The 16,876-nt window shown below is 39.7% G+C and overlaps 1 protein-coding gene across 26 annotated transcripts in view; it reads left to right on the top strand.

Annotated features, from left to right (window-relative positions):
• The window catches only part of DNAAF11 (dynein axonemal assembly factor 11), a 132,498-nt gene that overhangs the window by 72,737 nt on the left and 42,885 nt on the right, over window positions 1-16,876 (top strand). For 20 of the 26 annotated variants that reach the window (NR_135906.2, NR_135907.2, NR_073525.3 and 17 more), the window contains 3 exons: window positions 4,723-4,905; window positions 7,489-7,566; window positions 15,080-15,139. Coding sequence is in view for 15 of the 26 variants with exons in the window: in XM_006716538.4 (XP_006716601.2) it covers window positions 4,723-4,905; window positions 7,489-7,566; window positions 15,080-15,139 (321 nt within the window). In the remaining 11 variants the exon portion in view is untranslated. The remainder of the gene's footprint in view (window positions 1-4,722; window positions 4,906-7,488; window positions 7,567-15,079; window positions 15,140-16,876) is intronic. The other 6 variants (NR_135908.2, XM_011516950.3, NM_001321961.2 and 3 more) reach the window with 1 other exon arrangement.

The following is a 16,876-nucleotide window of genomic DNA, read 5'->3' as shown; positions in this document are numbered from 1 at the left end:
TTAGTTCTTTACTTGTCTGTATGAGTTTTAGAATCCGCTGCTAATCAAATTCCTTAAAAATCCCTAGTGGAATTTTGATTGAAATTACATTTAATTTATATGTTAATTGAGGGAAAGTTGACATCTTCATGACATTGATTCTTTCCTTGCTGAACCTTGGAAGAGCTCTATTTATTTAGATCTTCTTCTGAGTCCTTCAATGAGGTTTTAAATTTTCTCTGTAAAAGTCTTAAACCATCTTTCATTGTATTTATTTCTAAGTATCTTGTAGAATGAGATTTTAAAAATAGATGTAATTGGTTTTGCTGATATTTAAAGGGACAAATTATTTCTGTATACTGATATTGTGTTAATCTTGCTAACCTTTATAAAAGAGGCAATCCTGCATTTTCTAGTTGGAAAAACAATTGTTTGTAAGGAGTAACTTGAAAATTTTTTTCCTGTCCCTCTCCTTCTACTTTATTTTCTTCATGGTGCCTGCAAAGGCCTCCAGTATGGAGTGGAATAGTAGCGTTAAGAATGGGTATCTGGGCCGGGCGCAGTGGCTCATGCCTGTAATCTCAGCACTTTGGGAGGCTGAGATGGGCGGATCACGAGGTCAGGAGATTGAGACCATCCTGGCTAACATGGTGAAACCCCGTCTCTACTAAAAATACAAAAAATTAGCCAGGTGTGGTGGCAGGCGCCTGTAGTCCCAGCTACTCGGGAGGTTGAGGCCGGAGAATGGCATGAACCCAGGAGGCGGAGCTTGCAGTGAGCCGAGATTGGGCCACTGCACTCCAGCCTGGGCAACAGGGCGAGACTCCGTCTTAAAAAAAAAAAAGAAAAAAAAAAAGAGAATGGGTATCTGTATCTTGTTATCTTGTTTCTGACTTTAAAAAGAATGTGTGCAATTTCTCATCATTAAGTATAATGTTTGCTATGGGATTTTGGGTCATGTTAAGTAAGCTTCCTTCTATTCTCAGTTGATGAAAAGCTTTTATCATCACATGCATTATATTGATTCTTATTAAATGCTTTCCTTTAATCTATGGAGACAATAGTGTTTTTCTGTTACTGTGTTGAATTACATTAATAGAATTTCTAATATTAAACCATCCTTGAGTTTCTAGGATAAACATCCTTTGTCCATGATTATTTGCTAATGCATTGCTCCATTGATTTTGCTAATATTTATAATATTTGAACCTGTGTTCATAAGTGAGTTTATGCTATAATATCCTTGTCTGATTGTATTTTTTCCTGGTGTTTTGCATCAAAGTTATGTAATAGGCACATACAATATCTTGGAGATAATTTACTATCCTTGGTTTATAAAAATTTACAAAAGTTAAAATGGTCTGTTCCTTGTACTTTAGTAGAAGCTTACAGTGGGGTTTCTTGCAGGTGCCTTCTTGCCTCCCTTATAGGCCTGGCTGATCCTTGAGTCTTCATCATTCTCACCCTATTTAGCCTATTTGAACAGAAACGTAGACATTCTGGAGAGAATCATTGAAATCCTGAATCATTGAATTAGTTGGGGAGGAGTAGGAGGTTACTCCCCTCTCAAGGCTTCAAGAAGAAACACTACAGAGAATTAGAGGCTGCAAGAAAGGGAGATGAACATCTACCTCTTGACTAGGTAGAGCCTGCCTCCAGCCTGGAGAATTGAAAAGATAGAAAGTGGCCTGGAGCAGCCTAAAGCAGAGGGATCAGGGAAGAAGGTATTAATGGAAACAGCTCACACTTCACATGGCAAGGATTTGTGAATATCTTTTTTTTTTTTGAGATGGAGTCTCACTCTGTCACCCAGGCTGGAGTGCAATGGCGCAATCTCGGCTCACCGCAATCTCTGCCTCCTGGGTTCAAGCGATTCTTTTGCCTCAGCCTCCTGAGTAGCTGGGATTACAGGTGTGTGCCACCATGCCCGAGTAATTTTTGTATCTTTAGTGGAGATGGGGTTTCACCATGTTGGTCAGGCTGGTCTCTAACTTCTGACCTCATGATTTGCCCACCTCGGCCTCCCAAAGTGCTGGGATTACAGGCGTGAGCCACCCCACCCAGCCAGATTTGTGAATATTTTATAGAACAAGTAGACATGGTAGAAGGGGCTGGGTTTGAGCTGTCTTGAAGAGATGCTGTCCAAGAGGACAGCAGCAATAAGTCACTAGGGGGTGGATTATCAGTGGCAGAAGCTGGGGATTTATCACAAAAGGAGCCAGGAAGTATATTGACCACCTCTACAGTGAACAGTACACTTGGAGGACTCTTGTAGTGTCTCCAAGAATGACAAAGGTGCTTGCAGGAAGAGAAACCAGTATCTGGATATTGGTCCCAGCGAGGGTAGCAGCAGCCAGGTTATAATAGGAGTGGTCATATAAGCATGTTCACATTCTTCTCCTCATTCATCTTCCCAAGCCCCAAATTCTCAAGGCAGGAAGACTCTGAACCTAAGAGGCCCAGTAGTATGGGATTCAGAGGAAGGAATGGATGACAATGAAAAGTAGAACGAGAGGGTGTCCCTCTTCCCGTGCACACCCCAATCTGGAACAGGGCCAGGAGAGAGAATGGGTTGGAGGGGGAGGGAATGGCTTCGATTTGAAATTTAGGTCTGAACTTTTATTTAAACTTTAGACCCTTTAGTACCTGAAAATGAATGTTTAGCTGAGATCATGCTGCTCTTAAAAGTGACTCTACAGCTGTGGGATCTGCTTATGGATGGGAAGAGAGTTCTGAGAGAGCAGGTTTGAAGGCAATGGTTGAAGAGAAAGTTTTTTTGATCATACACTAATGAGCTCACTCTGTTTCATCAACCAGTTACACACATTTATATGCATTTTGCCTTGGAGACTTATGTTATTTAGCTCATATCTCTGATAAATTTCTTAAGTACTGTTATTTTTATGTTTTTATAATTATTATTTTAGATTGCAAAAGGCCAGATTGAACCAATTAGTCACTTTCCAGGAAAAATATAATTTAAATGGTTAAATGAGAATGGAACCAATTATTTCAGTGGCAATTATATAGAATATTGTAGAATATTATAGATACCCTTCATAGATTATTCTTTCAATACCATAAAGAACTGTAGCTGTATAGCAAAGCAATTTATTTATTTTCAGCAATTTGCATTATTTTGCTTATTAAAATATTTAGTTGCATTGTATCTGCAAAGAATCTAAGCAGAATTTTACTCTATATTCTATTGATGCTACTTAAATTTCATGTTCTAGTATTTTCAGTTCATCCCTTTGAAAAGTATCTTTCACAATATTTTCAAAATAAAGAAAATATATTTGAAAAGATACTTTCAAAATGAAGAAAATATCTTTAGTTTGAAGATCAGCTAAAGAAGCCTTTCTTGTCACCTCATTCATTAACAAAACCCAACATGTATTGAGTACCTACTATTTGCTGTAGTTGTATTAAAGGCTTCATGTAATTTTTTTCATTTGATGTCATCTAATAAAGTGTCTATTCTAGGGAGAGGTGAGGGGAGAGAGACTGTACCTAATGTTTATCGCTTAAATGATGTCATTTTCTTGCCACAAGAATAGAATCTCCTGAAAGTAGCATCGTGGTTTATGTAGGCCAGGGTTGTATCTCTGGTGCCTGGCACAACAGAAGATGCTTAATAAATAAATATATTTTGGATCCATGTTGAACAAATGTTGAATATCTCATATAATACCCATTTGATGACATACAGAGACGTTGTTTAATTCTCTGACAGTCCACAAAACATGAATAAAAGGGAAGAGAGAACTGTTACCATGTAAAGCTACATAATCAGAAGTTATCCATGAAAAATAAACTAGACACAGGCCATAATATAAAAAGTGCCGGCTGGGTGCGGTGGCTCATGCCTGTAATGCCAGCGCTTTGGGAGGCCGAGGCGGGTGGATCATGAGGTCAGGAGATTGAGACCATCCTGGCTAACACGGTGAAACCTCATCTCTACTAAAAATACAAAAAATTAGCCGGGTGTGGTGGCAGGCGCCTGTAGTCCCAGCTACTCAGGAGGCTGAGGCAGGAGAATGGCGTGAACCCGAGAGGCGGAGCTTGCGGTGAGCAGAGACCACTGGCCACTGCACTCCAGCCTGGGCGACAGAGGGAGACTCCGTCTCAAAAAAAAAAGAAAAAAAAGAAGGTGCCATAGGTCCCACAAGCGAATTTTGGAGATAAGAGAATCATTTAAAAACCTGGAAATAATGTGATCCAATTTGCCTGCTAGAAAAGTCCTTCTGGAAGTAGTGTGGAGAGTGTAATTGACAGGTACAAGATTAGAAGTGGGGTGATTTCTTGTCTGATCATCAGAATCTCCTGCAAAATATTATAAAACACAGATTCCCAGGCTTCAGATCTACTACTTCAGATCTACTGAATAGGCTTTCTGATGAGAGCCCAGGAATCTGTACTTTTTATAAAGCTCCCCAGGTGATTCTTAGCAGTCAGGTCTGTGAACCCTGGAATCTGATTACAGCAATATTCCTGATGATAGAAGATGAAGGCCTGCCCTATTCAACCTTTCAATGTAATGAGTGCTAACAGCCTTGGGTTGATCTCACTACATATCCATGCAGGGTAACCAGGCCTGGTTAAACTGTCTTTCAGAGTCACTTTGTCATTCAAAGGTAAGAAGATCACATAAGAAAAGTGTATAGATATTAAAGGGCCAGCATTAAGGATGAAGCTCATGAATCCATTATTGTTTTTAAGTGCTCTATTTGTTTTTCCTAGTTCCTCTTTAGAGAGCAAAGACCACCTACAGGCACCAGACACAGAGGAACACAACACAAAGAAATTAGACAACAGTGAAGATGACTTGGAATTCTGGAATAAGCCCTGTTTGTTTACTCCTGAATCAAGATTGGAAACTCTTAGACACATGGAAAAACAACGGAAGAAACAGGAAAAATTAAGGTATTTCATTCTTTCCTAGGAGAGGGAAGCAGTAGCCACTTATCAACTATATTTTTATGATTGCCCATTTTTTGACCCATTATTTGTGTTAAACCTTTAGCACTTGTATATAGATTTTGTTTTTTCTAAGTATAGCTTTTTGTTGAATTGTATTGGCTAACATTCATTAATATCAAAGTACCTTCTTTAGAACATCATGAATTATGACATTTTAGGTAGAGGTTTGTTTGTATATCTTTAGCTTTTTACCACTTTTAATATGCCTAATAATAGTGTATTAAGTTACACTAATACATTAGTATTTCTAGCCTAGAAAAAGGTCATTTTGTGGAATGAATGGGCTCCTTTTTGAGTCTGTTCTATTAATTTGCAAAGTGAAGAATTAGAAACTAGTTTCATTAGACATTTTATTTTCCTAATACAACTTTCTTGGACATTTAACAGCATGATTTCACTTTTGAGTTGTTTACATATAATTTGATGATTTGTTAGAAGCTAGGATTTTTATGCTATTATCTTCAGAGTAGCTTTTTCAAAAATAGATTTTGTGTCATTCCATTTCATGTCATTGCTTAAGTCTAGTATGTAAAATATATAACTTATGGGAATACTTATTATTCATGAGCTTGAGAATGTGATAAATTAGCCCTGAAATATAGTAATCTACATGGCAATGACTCAAGTGAAACAAAACACAATATCTCTCCTTGTGATTAACAACTAAAAGCAAGAAACTAGAAGTAAAAAAGATTTGAAATCTCAGCTGCTTTCATAAAGTTTTAGGGAGGTATAACAATCAAAACTCAAATTTTATCTAAAATACTTGTTTGTAAAACGTGGGTGATTTGCACACTAAGGGACTACACAGTCCTTTGGGAAGAGCATTGAATAAGATTATGTATGCATGTCTTGACTCCACTATTACCCTCTGTGTGATGTTGGCAAGTACCTAACTTCTCCTCATCTGTTTCTTCATCTGCTAAACAGGGATTATCATACCTGTCTTACCTACCCCACTGTACTGTTAAGAAAATCAGATGAGCCTATACCTGTGAAAGTGCTTTGCAGACTCAAGAGCCCTTTGAAATGGAAGTTCTACATGTTTATAGAATGTGAACTATTTCTTACATATATACCCATACACACATATGTTATATTTATATATCTGTGGGTATGTAGAAATAATATCTAATCTGTTATGAATTGAGCCTGAAATAAGGAGAAATTTTTTTTACTCCCTGTTACCTAATAAAGTAAGGCTGAATTGGATGGAGATCTGAGTCACTATGTTTTGGACACCTTAGATTTCCCAATCCAGTGAGTCTGTGAGATGTTTGCCTCTGATTGTGTTACCATTTTTATTAATTCGGTGTAAGCAGGGACAAAAGAAATCTTTTGTTCCTAACTCTGATCTGCTTTACACTGAGTAGGGTGAAGCCAAGGGCTTGTGGATGCCCCTTAATTGTCCTGGGTCATTGAAATATTAACTCCATTGGATCTGGAGGCCCAGTTTAAAATGCAGAAGAGTGTGAATGATTTTTTCCAAAATAAAGTTAACTGACACAAAATCTGTATTAAAAGTACAATAGAAATTTAAGGCAAAGAATTGCCAACAGTTCCATCATCTAAACAGATTTGTTTATCTGATCTAGATATTGTCCATATTTGCCTATTTAAGGTTCTATATACTTTCAGTAATCTTTTAAATAGAATTTACATACTGCATTTTAATTTCCTATTACTCCATTAATCTTCTATTATTTGCTTCCTTTATTTACCTCCTATCCAACCCTTCAGTGTAATGAGTGTTAACAGGCTTGGGTTGATCTCACTACATTTTTTTTTTTGCTCTTTGTAATTGTATAACTTATCTCTGCAAATGTAGGATTTGGGGTCTTTTTGTAAAACAAAAATGGATTTATATTTTATATATTTTTTCTCACTAAATACATCATCAACACTTTTCTAAATCAATAGGTAATGAGCAAACACATTTTTTAATAGCTGCAAAATATTTTATAGCATGAATGAAGCACAGTTGATCCAACCATTTTTCCACTGATGGACATTCACAACAGTTCCAGGGGTTTGCTACTGTAAATAATGCTGTGAGAAATATCCTTTTATATAGATTCTTCTGTGCTGGTATTTTTATTTCTATTGAATAGATTCTACTTGGTATGTTAAATGTTGTATTTTAGCTAAAGCAGAAGCTCTGTGCACAAATGGAGAGTTGACAGTTATCTGGGTAAATCATGTATAAAATAGACTTACTTAAATATTAATAGACATTCATGAAAAGGAGTTTTCTTCCCTCATTCAAATTATCTGGCAAATTGTCTTGGTCATTTTTTTGCTGTACAGATACAGATACAACCATATAAAAAATCTGGCTTGATTGTCAGTTCCCAGCATAGAATTAAAGGAATGGACTTAAGAACAAGGAATTGTTGATGTGTTCGTAAAAGTCCAATTAATTTTTTTAAAACTGTTTCACAAAAATGTATTAATTGCTTTTATATTCTCTTTGCTTGTTTTTTCTTTCCATGCTGCCCATTGTTCTCATCCACCACCAATCTTAAGTGAAAAAAAGAAGAAAGTGAAACCACCCAGGACTTTGATCACTGAAGATGGGAAAGCCCTAAATGTGAATGAGCCCAAGTATGTGAGGCCAAATAGAGCGTTAAAGACCCAAAAGTGTCAGTCAATGGTGTTGGTCAATCATTGTTTCAATTCCAGGTTTGCTCTGCAAAGAATATTTCTGACTGCTCTTAACAAGTTTGATGAGTCTAAAAATAATGTCATTTGGTGCATATTTAAAGGCAAAACATCTATTATGTTTTCAAATGCATAATTTTCTTGGCATCTAGAAAATGATCTTGACATATGGAGATCTTAGTTATTTATGTACCCCATGAAACTTTGGACCATATACAGTTTTATGCCTGAAAATTGCCATCACATTATTGTTGTATTTATGAATTTTTAAAACTCTGCCATGAGCAAGCTGCTTGAGAATACTGATGTACCTTCTATACATCTACTTTATACTCTGGAGCACATCTACAAAGCACTGGAGAGCTAGGGAAGGAAATCAATATAATACCCTCAATGAATTTAATGAGAGGATGGATACTCAAACTGGAAATCTTCAAGTATAATCACATCTGATCTACCCTCTTTGTCTGTCTTAAAAATTGAAATTAGAAAGCAGGACAGAAAAGCCTTTTGTAGCTAAAATACAGACCAGAGAGCCTACAGACTAAATCTCATTCACTTCATTTTATTACTCAAACCTATTTTCTGTCATCATTTCATTTGCTCTGTCATGACCATGGTGAAGGTACAATCCTGAATTATTCCTGGGCATCATTTGTCTTCACAGCAGTCACAGGTGGTAAACAGTATTTCTTTTTTACATGTCCAGAACCTGGGCCTGAGAGAGGTGGAGTGACTTGCCCAAGGTCACACAGCTAATAGGTGGTGTTTCTGAGTTGCTCATGCTAACCTAGTTCTAGTGACTTCCATGATAAACTTTATAATTCCTTCCCCTTACCCACACTCAGCAGACAGGAATGCAAGACAGAACACTAGGCTAGGCCCTGGGGATAGAGCAATGACTGTTAACAGGTTTCTTTCTGACCTCATGGAGTTCAGAAATCGACTTTAGGCGGTCTCTATTTAGCCTACAACAGAACTCAAGGGAGACTCTCGGAACTCCATGTGTCTCTGGTAAGACCACCACTCTTCCCACACACTGCAGCCTCACCTGCCCCTAAAACCAGTTCTACTGAGATTGATTCTATGAAGAACTGTTTACCCACCACCTCCTCACTAGCACTGCCTCCCGACATGTGATCATCCCCTGTTCCTCCCCTCCCAGGTCATGCACCACTGGCCAGAATCTTATACCCAAATGGCGCTGATCCACTTCAACTCATTGTCACCCCTTTTGGACCCCTGTGCCCTCTGGAGCTTGAGCTTGGACAGCAAAGCCTGAAGCTTCCACCGTTTCTCCTCTTTCACTAACTGAAGTGGAGGGTTCACTTCTGTGGCTGACAGCTGTTCTTCCTCACCACATACACCACAGGGGCAGTTACAGCCCATCGCCACTTTCAGGCCATCTTTCTCCCTTTCTCTGTTGAAGGACAAGCCATCTAGATATAGCACCCCTGCTCCTTCTTCCCGCAGTCATCTACATCACCCTGGTCAACCCTCAACCCCAGCCCTGTCAGTTCATTGAAGATCTTTCACCCACACCCGTGTCTCTCTCTGCCTCTCCTGCTATTATCAGTCTTGGTGATGACTTTATCAAACATGTAGGTGATCCACCAGAAGCCCTGGCCTCTCAGTTCCCCAACCGGCTCACTTCTCCAGCTCAGCTCAGCCACACGATTTCATTTTCATTCCTAGATTTGCCACTGTCAATATCTCTTCCACCTCAGAAACTTAACCTTGAGTGTCTCACTAGACACCATTTCTTATGTTCCTGGGGGAACTCCCTCCACTCAAACAACCACGTGCCCCCATGAAGACCATAAGATAATTCACTCTCCTATTTTTCTTACTGTACCCTAACCCCTCATCTTCTCTTGCTGTGCTTTAGTTTTATGGTTCATCACAGAAATCAGTCCTTGGGCCAGGTGCAGTGGCTCACGCCTATAATCCCAGCACTTTGGGAGACCGAGGCAGGCAGATCACTTGAGGTCAGTAGTTCGAGACCAGCCTGGCCAACGTGGTGAAACCCCATCTCTACTGAAAATACAAAAATTAGCCAGGAATGGTGGCACACACCTGTAATCCCAGCCACTCGGAAGGCTGGGACACGAGAATCGCTTGAACCTGGGAGGCAGAGGTTGCAGTGAGCCGAGATCACGCCACTGCACTCCTGCCTGGGCGACAGAGTAAGACCCTGTCTCAAGAAAAAAGGAAAAGAAAAATGAAATCAGTCCTTGTCGTTTGTCTTCAGCTTTCTTGTTTTTTTCTCTTTCCATCATCCTCACCTCACAAAACCCCAACCTGTTGAAAATCCAGCACACTACCCACTCTTGGGCTGGTCCTCCTGTGTGGCTGGAGGAGACCATTCACCTCTACTTGCTGGTCTTACCTTAAATTCATAACCACAGATCTCAGATGGACTCTGGCAATCTTCCTGTATTTTCCTGGGCCATCCATTCTCCTACTGTCCTACAAGCTGCTCTCCTACCTTCTCTCTCCTTACTTCCAACATCATCTGACACTTCCACAGTCTTAACTGAGGACCTTGTTTCCTATTTCGTTGAGAAAAAAAGCAATCAGGAGATTTCTTTTCCTCCCAACATCCAATTTACCAGTGTATCTGGACCTGTCCCATGTACTCCCCTCTCTCCTGCTGCTGACGGTGAACTTCCCATCCAAAATCAGTCTGTGTAAGCACCCTGACTCCATCCCCTCTGCCTATCAAGGACTTAGTTGCTCAGTTATCCTTGGTCTTCTGCACTAGTTCTCTCCACTCTGCTAGATCAGTCTCACACATGTGCAAACAAATTCTAAAAATCTTTGTCTTAAACAAAATTAAAGCAACAACCTCCCTTCCCCTGGTTTTCCTTCCAGCCGCAGCTCTTTTTCTCTGCCCCCATTTAATGGAATTGTCTGCACTTGGTCTCCAGTTTCTAACTTCATATTCCTTCTTGAAACCACTTCTGTGCATTCCATCATCCTGAAATTTCCTTAGCCATATTATTTCCACATTCAGTGTTCGATTCTTAGTCTTTGTCTTACTGGACATAGCAGATTTGGATCAAATTGTTCAGTACCATCCTTCTTTTTTTTTAATTTATTATTATTATACTTTAAGTTTTAGGGTACATGTGCACAATGTGCAGGTCAGTTACATATGTATACATGTGCCATGCTGGTGCGCTGCACCCACTAACTCGTCATCTAACATTAGGTATATCTCCCAGTGCTATCCCTCCCCCATCCCCCCACCCCACAACAGTCCCCAGAGTGTGATGTTCCCCTTCCTCTGTCCATGTGTTCTCATTGTTCAATTCCCACCTATGAGTGAGAACATGTGGTGTTTGGTTTTTTGTTCTTGCGATAGTTTACTGAGAATGATGATTTCCAGTTTCATCCGTGTCCCTACAAAGGACATGAACTCATCATTTTTTATGGCTGCATAGTATTCCATGGTGTATATGTGCCATATTTTCTTAATCCAGTCTATCATTGTTGGACATTTGGGTTGGTTCCAAGTCTTTGCTATTGTGAATAGTGCCGCAATAAACATACGTGTGCATGTGTCTTTATAGCAGCATGATTTATAGTCCTTTGGGTATATATCCAGTAATGGGATGGCTGGGTCACATGGTATTTCTAGTTCTAGATCCCTGAGGAATCGCCACACTGACTTCCACAGTGGTTGAACTAGTTTACAGTCCCACCAACAGTGTAAAAGTGTTCCTATTTCTCCACATCCTCTCCAACACCTGTTGTTTCCTGACTTTTTAATGATAGCCATTCTAACTGGCGTGAGATGGTATCTCATTGTGGTTTTGATTTGCATTTCTCTGATGGCCAGTGATGGTGAGCATTTTTTCATGTGTTTTTTGGCTGCATAAATGTCTTCTTTTGAGAAGTGTCTGTTCATGTCCTTCACCCACTTTTTGATGGGGTTGTTTGTTTTTTTCTTGTAAATTTGTTTGAGTTCATTGTAGATTCTGGATATTAGCCCTTTGTCAGATGAGTAGGTTGCGAAAATTTTCTCCCATTTTGTAGGTTGCCTGTTCACTCTGATGGTAGTTTCTTTTGCTGTGCAGAAGCTCTTTAGTTTAATTAGATCCCATTTGTCAATTTTGGCTTTTGTTGCCATTGCTTTTGGTGTTTTAGACATGAAGTCCTTGCCCATGCCTATGTCCTGAATGGTAATGCCTAGGTTTTCTTCTAGGGTTTTTATGGTTTTAGGTCTAACATTTAAGTCTTTAATCCATCTTGAATTGATTTTTGTATAAGGTGTAAGGAAGGGATCCAGTTTCAGCTTTCTACATATGGCTAGCCAGTTTTCCCAGCACCATTTATTAAATAGGGAATCCTTTCCCCATTTCTTGTTTTTCTCAGGTTTGTCAAAGATCAGATAGTTGTAGATATGCGGCATTGTTTCTGAGGGCTCTGTTCTGTTCCATTGATCTATATCTCTGTTTTGGTACCAGTACCATGCTGTTTTGGTTACTGTAGCCTTGTAGTGTAGTTTGAAGTCAGGTAGTGTGATGCCTCCAGCTTTGTTCTTTTGGCTTAGGATTGACTTGGCGATGTGGGCTCTTTTTTGGTTCCATATGAACTTTAAAGTAGTTTTTTCCAATTCTGTGAAGAAAGTCATTGGTAGCTTGATGGGGATGGCATTGAATCTGTAAATTACCTTGGGCAGTATGGCCATTTTCACAATATTGATTCTTCCTACCCATGAGCATGGAATGTTCTTCCATTTGTTTGTATCCTCTTTTATTTCCTTGAGCAGTGGTTTGTAGTTCTCCTTGAAGAGGTCCTTCACATCCCTTGTAAGTTGGATTCCTAGGTATTTTATTCTCTTTGAAGCAAAAAGACAGGGATGCCCTCTCTCACCACTCCTATTCAACATAGTGTTGGAAGTTCTGGCCAGGGCAACTAGGCAAGAGAAGGAAATAAAGGGTATTCAATTAGGAAAATTTGCAGACAACATGATTGTATATCTAGAAAACCCCATTGTCTCAGCCTAAAATCTCCTTAAGCTGATAAGCAACTTCAGCAAAGTCTCAGGATACAAAATCAATGTACAAAAATCACAAGCATTCTTATACACCAACAACAGACAGAGAGCCAAATCATGAGTGAACTCCCATTCACAATTGCTTCAGTACCATCCTTCTTAAAGCAATTTCTTCCCTTTACTTCTGATTTTTCTTCTATCTTACTGACTGCTCATCTTCCTAAGCTTTGACAGATCCTTTTGATTTTGTTTTTTGGGTGCCCTATAACAAACTCCTCAGCTGTCTTCCCTTTTCACATTCGCTCTTCATGGCTCTCACCAAATCCCATGGCTGTAAACACTCCCTTTACATTTCTCCCAACTCGATCCAACCTCTTCTCTGAGCTCAAGACTTGTCTATTCAGTTATGTTGTTAAGAATATATAGTTCCTCTTCAGAGGGTTTCGGTTCCTGGTTCTTTGTTCTATTCTAAAAGATAATTGTACCCATTCATCTGTCAGCCCTCCCTATCTCTACTGTGCCCAAACACCCCAAGATATACCGTACCTTTCCTTCCTGTGAAATGCCCACTGTTGCCTCCTTTGATGATGTCAACAGTAGCCAATCAGAATTAGCCTAGATTGAGCGGTCCAACCCCAGCCTGCAGTGGAAGGACATAGGAATAGGGTCTGTGTTAGGGATAAAAAACTCCTGCTCTCCTTTGTTTTGCTCACTCTCCCTTGCCTCTGCCTTGCATGCAGGAAGTGCCCTTCTATAGAAGTATATTGCCTTGCTGAGAAAACTTTTGCCTGAGTGCTGGTTTCACTTTGTGGCACTGAAAATTTGTTTCTAACAATTAGCTGTTTGACATCACTGGGTGGATATAAGAGAGTCATTGCACACTTATGACGACTAAAAGAGAACCCCTGATTTCCAGCCTCACTAACACTCTCCAGCATCGTGTGCTTGTGTCCCTGTGTTCTCCATCTCAGTAACACACATTCACCCCTTGGCTAAGACCAGAAACCTTGGATTCTCCCTTAATTCTTCTCTCCCTCATTTTATCAGTGCGTCCTATGAACTCTTCCTTCGATATTATCAGAATCCAGCCACATCTCACTGACCCCACCACCACCACTAGTGGACACTAACTCTTGCTTGGACAGTTGCAATTGCTTATTAAGCAGTCTCCATGGTTTATCTGTTGGCCTCCTACATTCTGTTCTACTCAGCTAAATAAAGAAGAAAAAAGGGAAGAAAGGATACACGCTCCTTTTCTTAAGGGACATTCTTAGAAAGTGCCATACAACGACTGTCCCTCACATGACCTCACCCACCTGCAAGGGAGGCCAGAGAATGCAACCTTTATTGTACATAGCCATGCCCCTAGTTAAAACCATGGTTCCTGTCACTAGGAATAAAGGGGAAGCAGATAGCAACTAAATAGCAATCTCTGCCATAGGAAAATTCTCTGAAATTACTTTACAAGTAATAAGCAATCGAGGCAGAGCAGGAGCATATAAAAAGGCTCCTGAGATGAGGTTCTACAAATGCATGGGTCATTTGAGACACTGAAGAAGTCCCACAGGCCTGACTATTGAAAGCAATGAGACAGTGCCTGCCACAAGCAGAAATGGGGCGAACAGCCAAATCTATCGCTAACTTCACATTTTCCTAAACAGTTTAGCTTATGTTCTTTAATATTGTTGAGTTGTATGTTTTATAGAGTAATACAGTAACTGAAATGTTCAAAAGAAAATTGACCAGGCAATTCTGATAGTATGTTGTTCAGTGTGGAAGCTAGACCTAGGACTCAACCTCGGGGTACAGTTGAAAGATGGTGGAGCTTTGAAATCCTGCCTAGCCAGGCTCGTGCAGAGAAAGTGTAAAGGCATTTATTATAATTCAGCTATGCCAACCTCTTTGAACCTCTGTTTCTTCATCTATAAAACAGAGGTAATAGATAATGAGCAGTGTCTCAGCCTTTTTCAGGGCAATGGAAAGGTCAGCGATGAAAGGAGAAGAAAAAAGATAGCAAGAAAAAAGAAGGAAGACAGGACTCTAAAACTTAAGGAATAGAATGCAGGATAAAGGGGAGGCAAAAGCAACCTTTAGTTCTCCATAAATAATTCCAATGTTTTAGTTTGCTTCTGGCAAACTCATATGAGATGGAAAAGAAAACTTTAGCCACCAGATGTCTCTATCTCTGCACTAAAGCTAATTTTTTGTGTGTAATTTACCTTAAGATTCTCACATTTAAACACTGTAAACACAAATAATTTATTAATATGTTGTAGGTTTTGCTGAAATGTTAAAATTACCGTTGATATTTGATTGTTCAACCACTAAAATAAGTTGTCTTTGGATATTATTATAGAATTATTATCTAATCTGCTTATGAATTTATGATGGGGTTTTCTATACAGTATCCTAAAGACATCTCTTTTTTCCCACCAAATGTGTTATTCTTAGAATTGACTTCTCTTTGAAAGATAACGAAAAGCAGATCATCCTGGACCTTGCTGTCTATAGGTAAAGACATTTTCTACGTATTTATTTATGACATTTCTGTCTGTTTTCATTCTCAGTAGTAATTTTTTAGTTTGAAAAAATTGAAATGGAATTGACTTAGACCTATAGTTAAATGAAGCTTATTTGTTAAGACAGAGAAGTTACTATAATTTTTAAAAGCATGAAAATGAAAGGAAAGGTAAATAAAGCCACAATTTCATGGATATGAACTCAGGAATATCTAAGGCAGAGTTTAAATAATTCTCAGACCTGTGCTGTTTTCTGATGCTGATACTACAAGGACCCCACTCTGTCTTTGCTGGCATAGTCCTCTGTTTTTGTCTAAAATGCCTTCCTATAGTAGTAGGTATCAGGTGATCGGCTCCCCTCCCTCAGTCCCATCTCAGAGGCCTGGGGGAACACCTAGCAGCCCCTGTCACCAGTGGACCCTTCTTCCCTGCTGCCCTCTCACATCCTGCCTGTTTTCTCACCCATGGGTAGGAGTGGCACAGACCTCCTGCCTGCCCTCATCACCACACCCAAACTATTGTCCTTTTCTCCTCCCTAAAGCTCCATGGCTTTGACACTCAAACCTTCAGCCTGTATCCCCTTCTTCTCTTCTTTGTGGAAGCATCTAAAGGCAGCAGGTCACTCTGCCTCATTCCCTGAAGATTTTAGGCCCTGGTTCACTGTGCCGATACATCCTTCTGATGACCTCAGTGTCCCCTGGCACCATCTCAGAGGCTGCTTGCCTGTGCTTCCCTCTGCCTGTATCACCCTCGGTGTCCTTGTGGCTTGCTGCCTCGTGTCCTTCAGGCCTCTGCTCAGATGTCACCTCATTAGAGGGGCCTCTCTGCCCCACCATCTGACATAAAGCAGTACCTACCCCTGCCCAGCACTTCCTTCCACTCTTTCTACTTTTTGACTTCCTGCTGACAAAGTGTAAATTTACTTGTATTCTTAAAAGTTTGTGGTCAGAGCAGGAAGCTTGTTTTGTTTGTTCTTTCCTCTCTACATCTCCACACCTAAAACAATACCTGGCACCTGTTAGGTGCTCAATAAACACAAGAATGAATGAATGAATGAATGAACAAATACTGATGATGGGAGTATGACATTGACATGCATGAATGAATGGATGAATGTTTACATGCATGAATTATAATAAATGCCTTTCTCTTTTTAATGGCTTTTGATGTGCCCCATTTTATTTAATCTCTCAGTAACCCTGGGAGGTTGGAGGGATTATTACCCAAGAGGGGGTAACTTTTCCAAGAGTGAGTCTTGTCAAAGTGAACAGGGACCGAAGGAGCCAGAACATCAGCCCTCAGGACTTCAACCAACTTTGCTGTTTTGATTGTGGTAAAATACACATAACTTAAAATCGACCATTTCAACCATTTCAAAATGGACAACACCATGGCATTTAATAAATTCACAATATTGTACAACCATTACCATTGTCTAGTTCCAGAAAATGTTTATCACCCCAGAAGGAAACCCCATGGTCCTTAAGCAGTCACTGCCCATTCTCTGTCTTCATGGCAACCACTAATCTGTTTTCTGTCTCTATAGATTTGCCTATTTGGGATATTTCATATTAATAGAATCATACAACATGTGGCCTTTGTGTCTGGCTTCTTTCACTTACCATAATGTCTTCAAGCCTCATCCATGTTGTTGCACGTGTCAGAATTTCCTTCCTTTTTATGGCCAAATACTATTCCATTGCATAGATGTACCACATTTTGTTTATCC

This window comes from Homo sapiens, chromosome 8, assembly GCF_000001405.40.
Source record: "Homo sapiens chromosome 8, GRCh38.p14 Primary Assembly".
Classification (NCBI taxonomy): Eukaryota; Metazoa; Chordata; class Mammalia; order Primates; family Hominidae; genus Homo; species Homo sapiens.
This window is presented reverse-complemented; position numbering and strand designations above follow the sequence as displayed.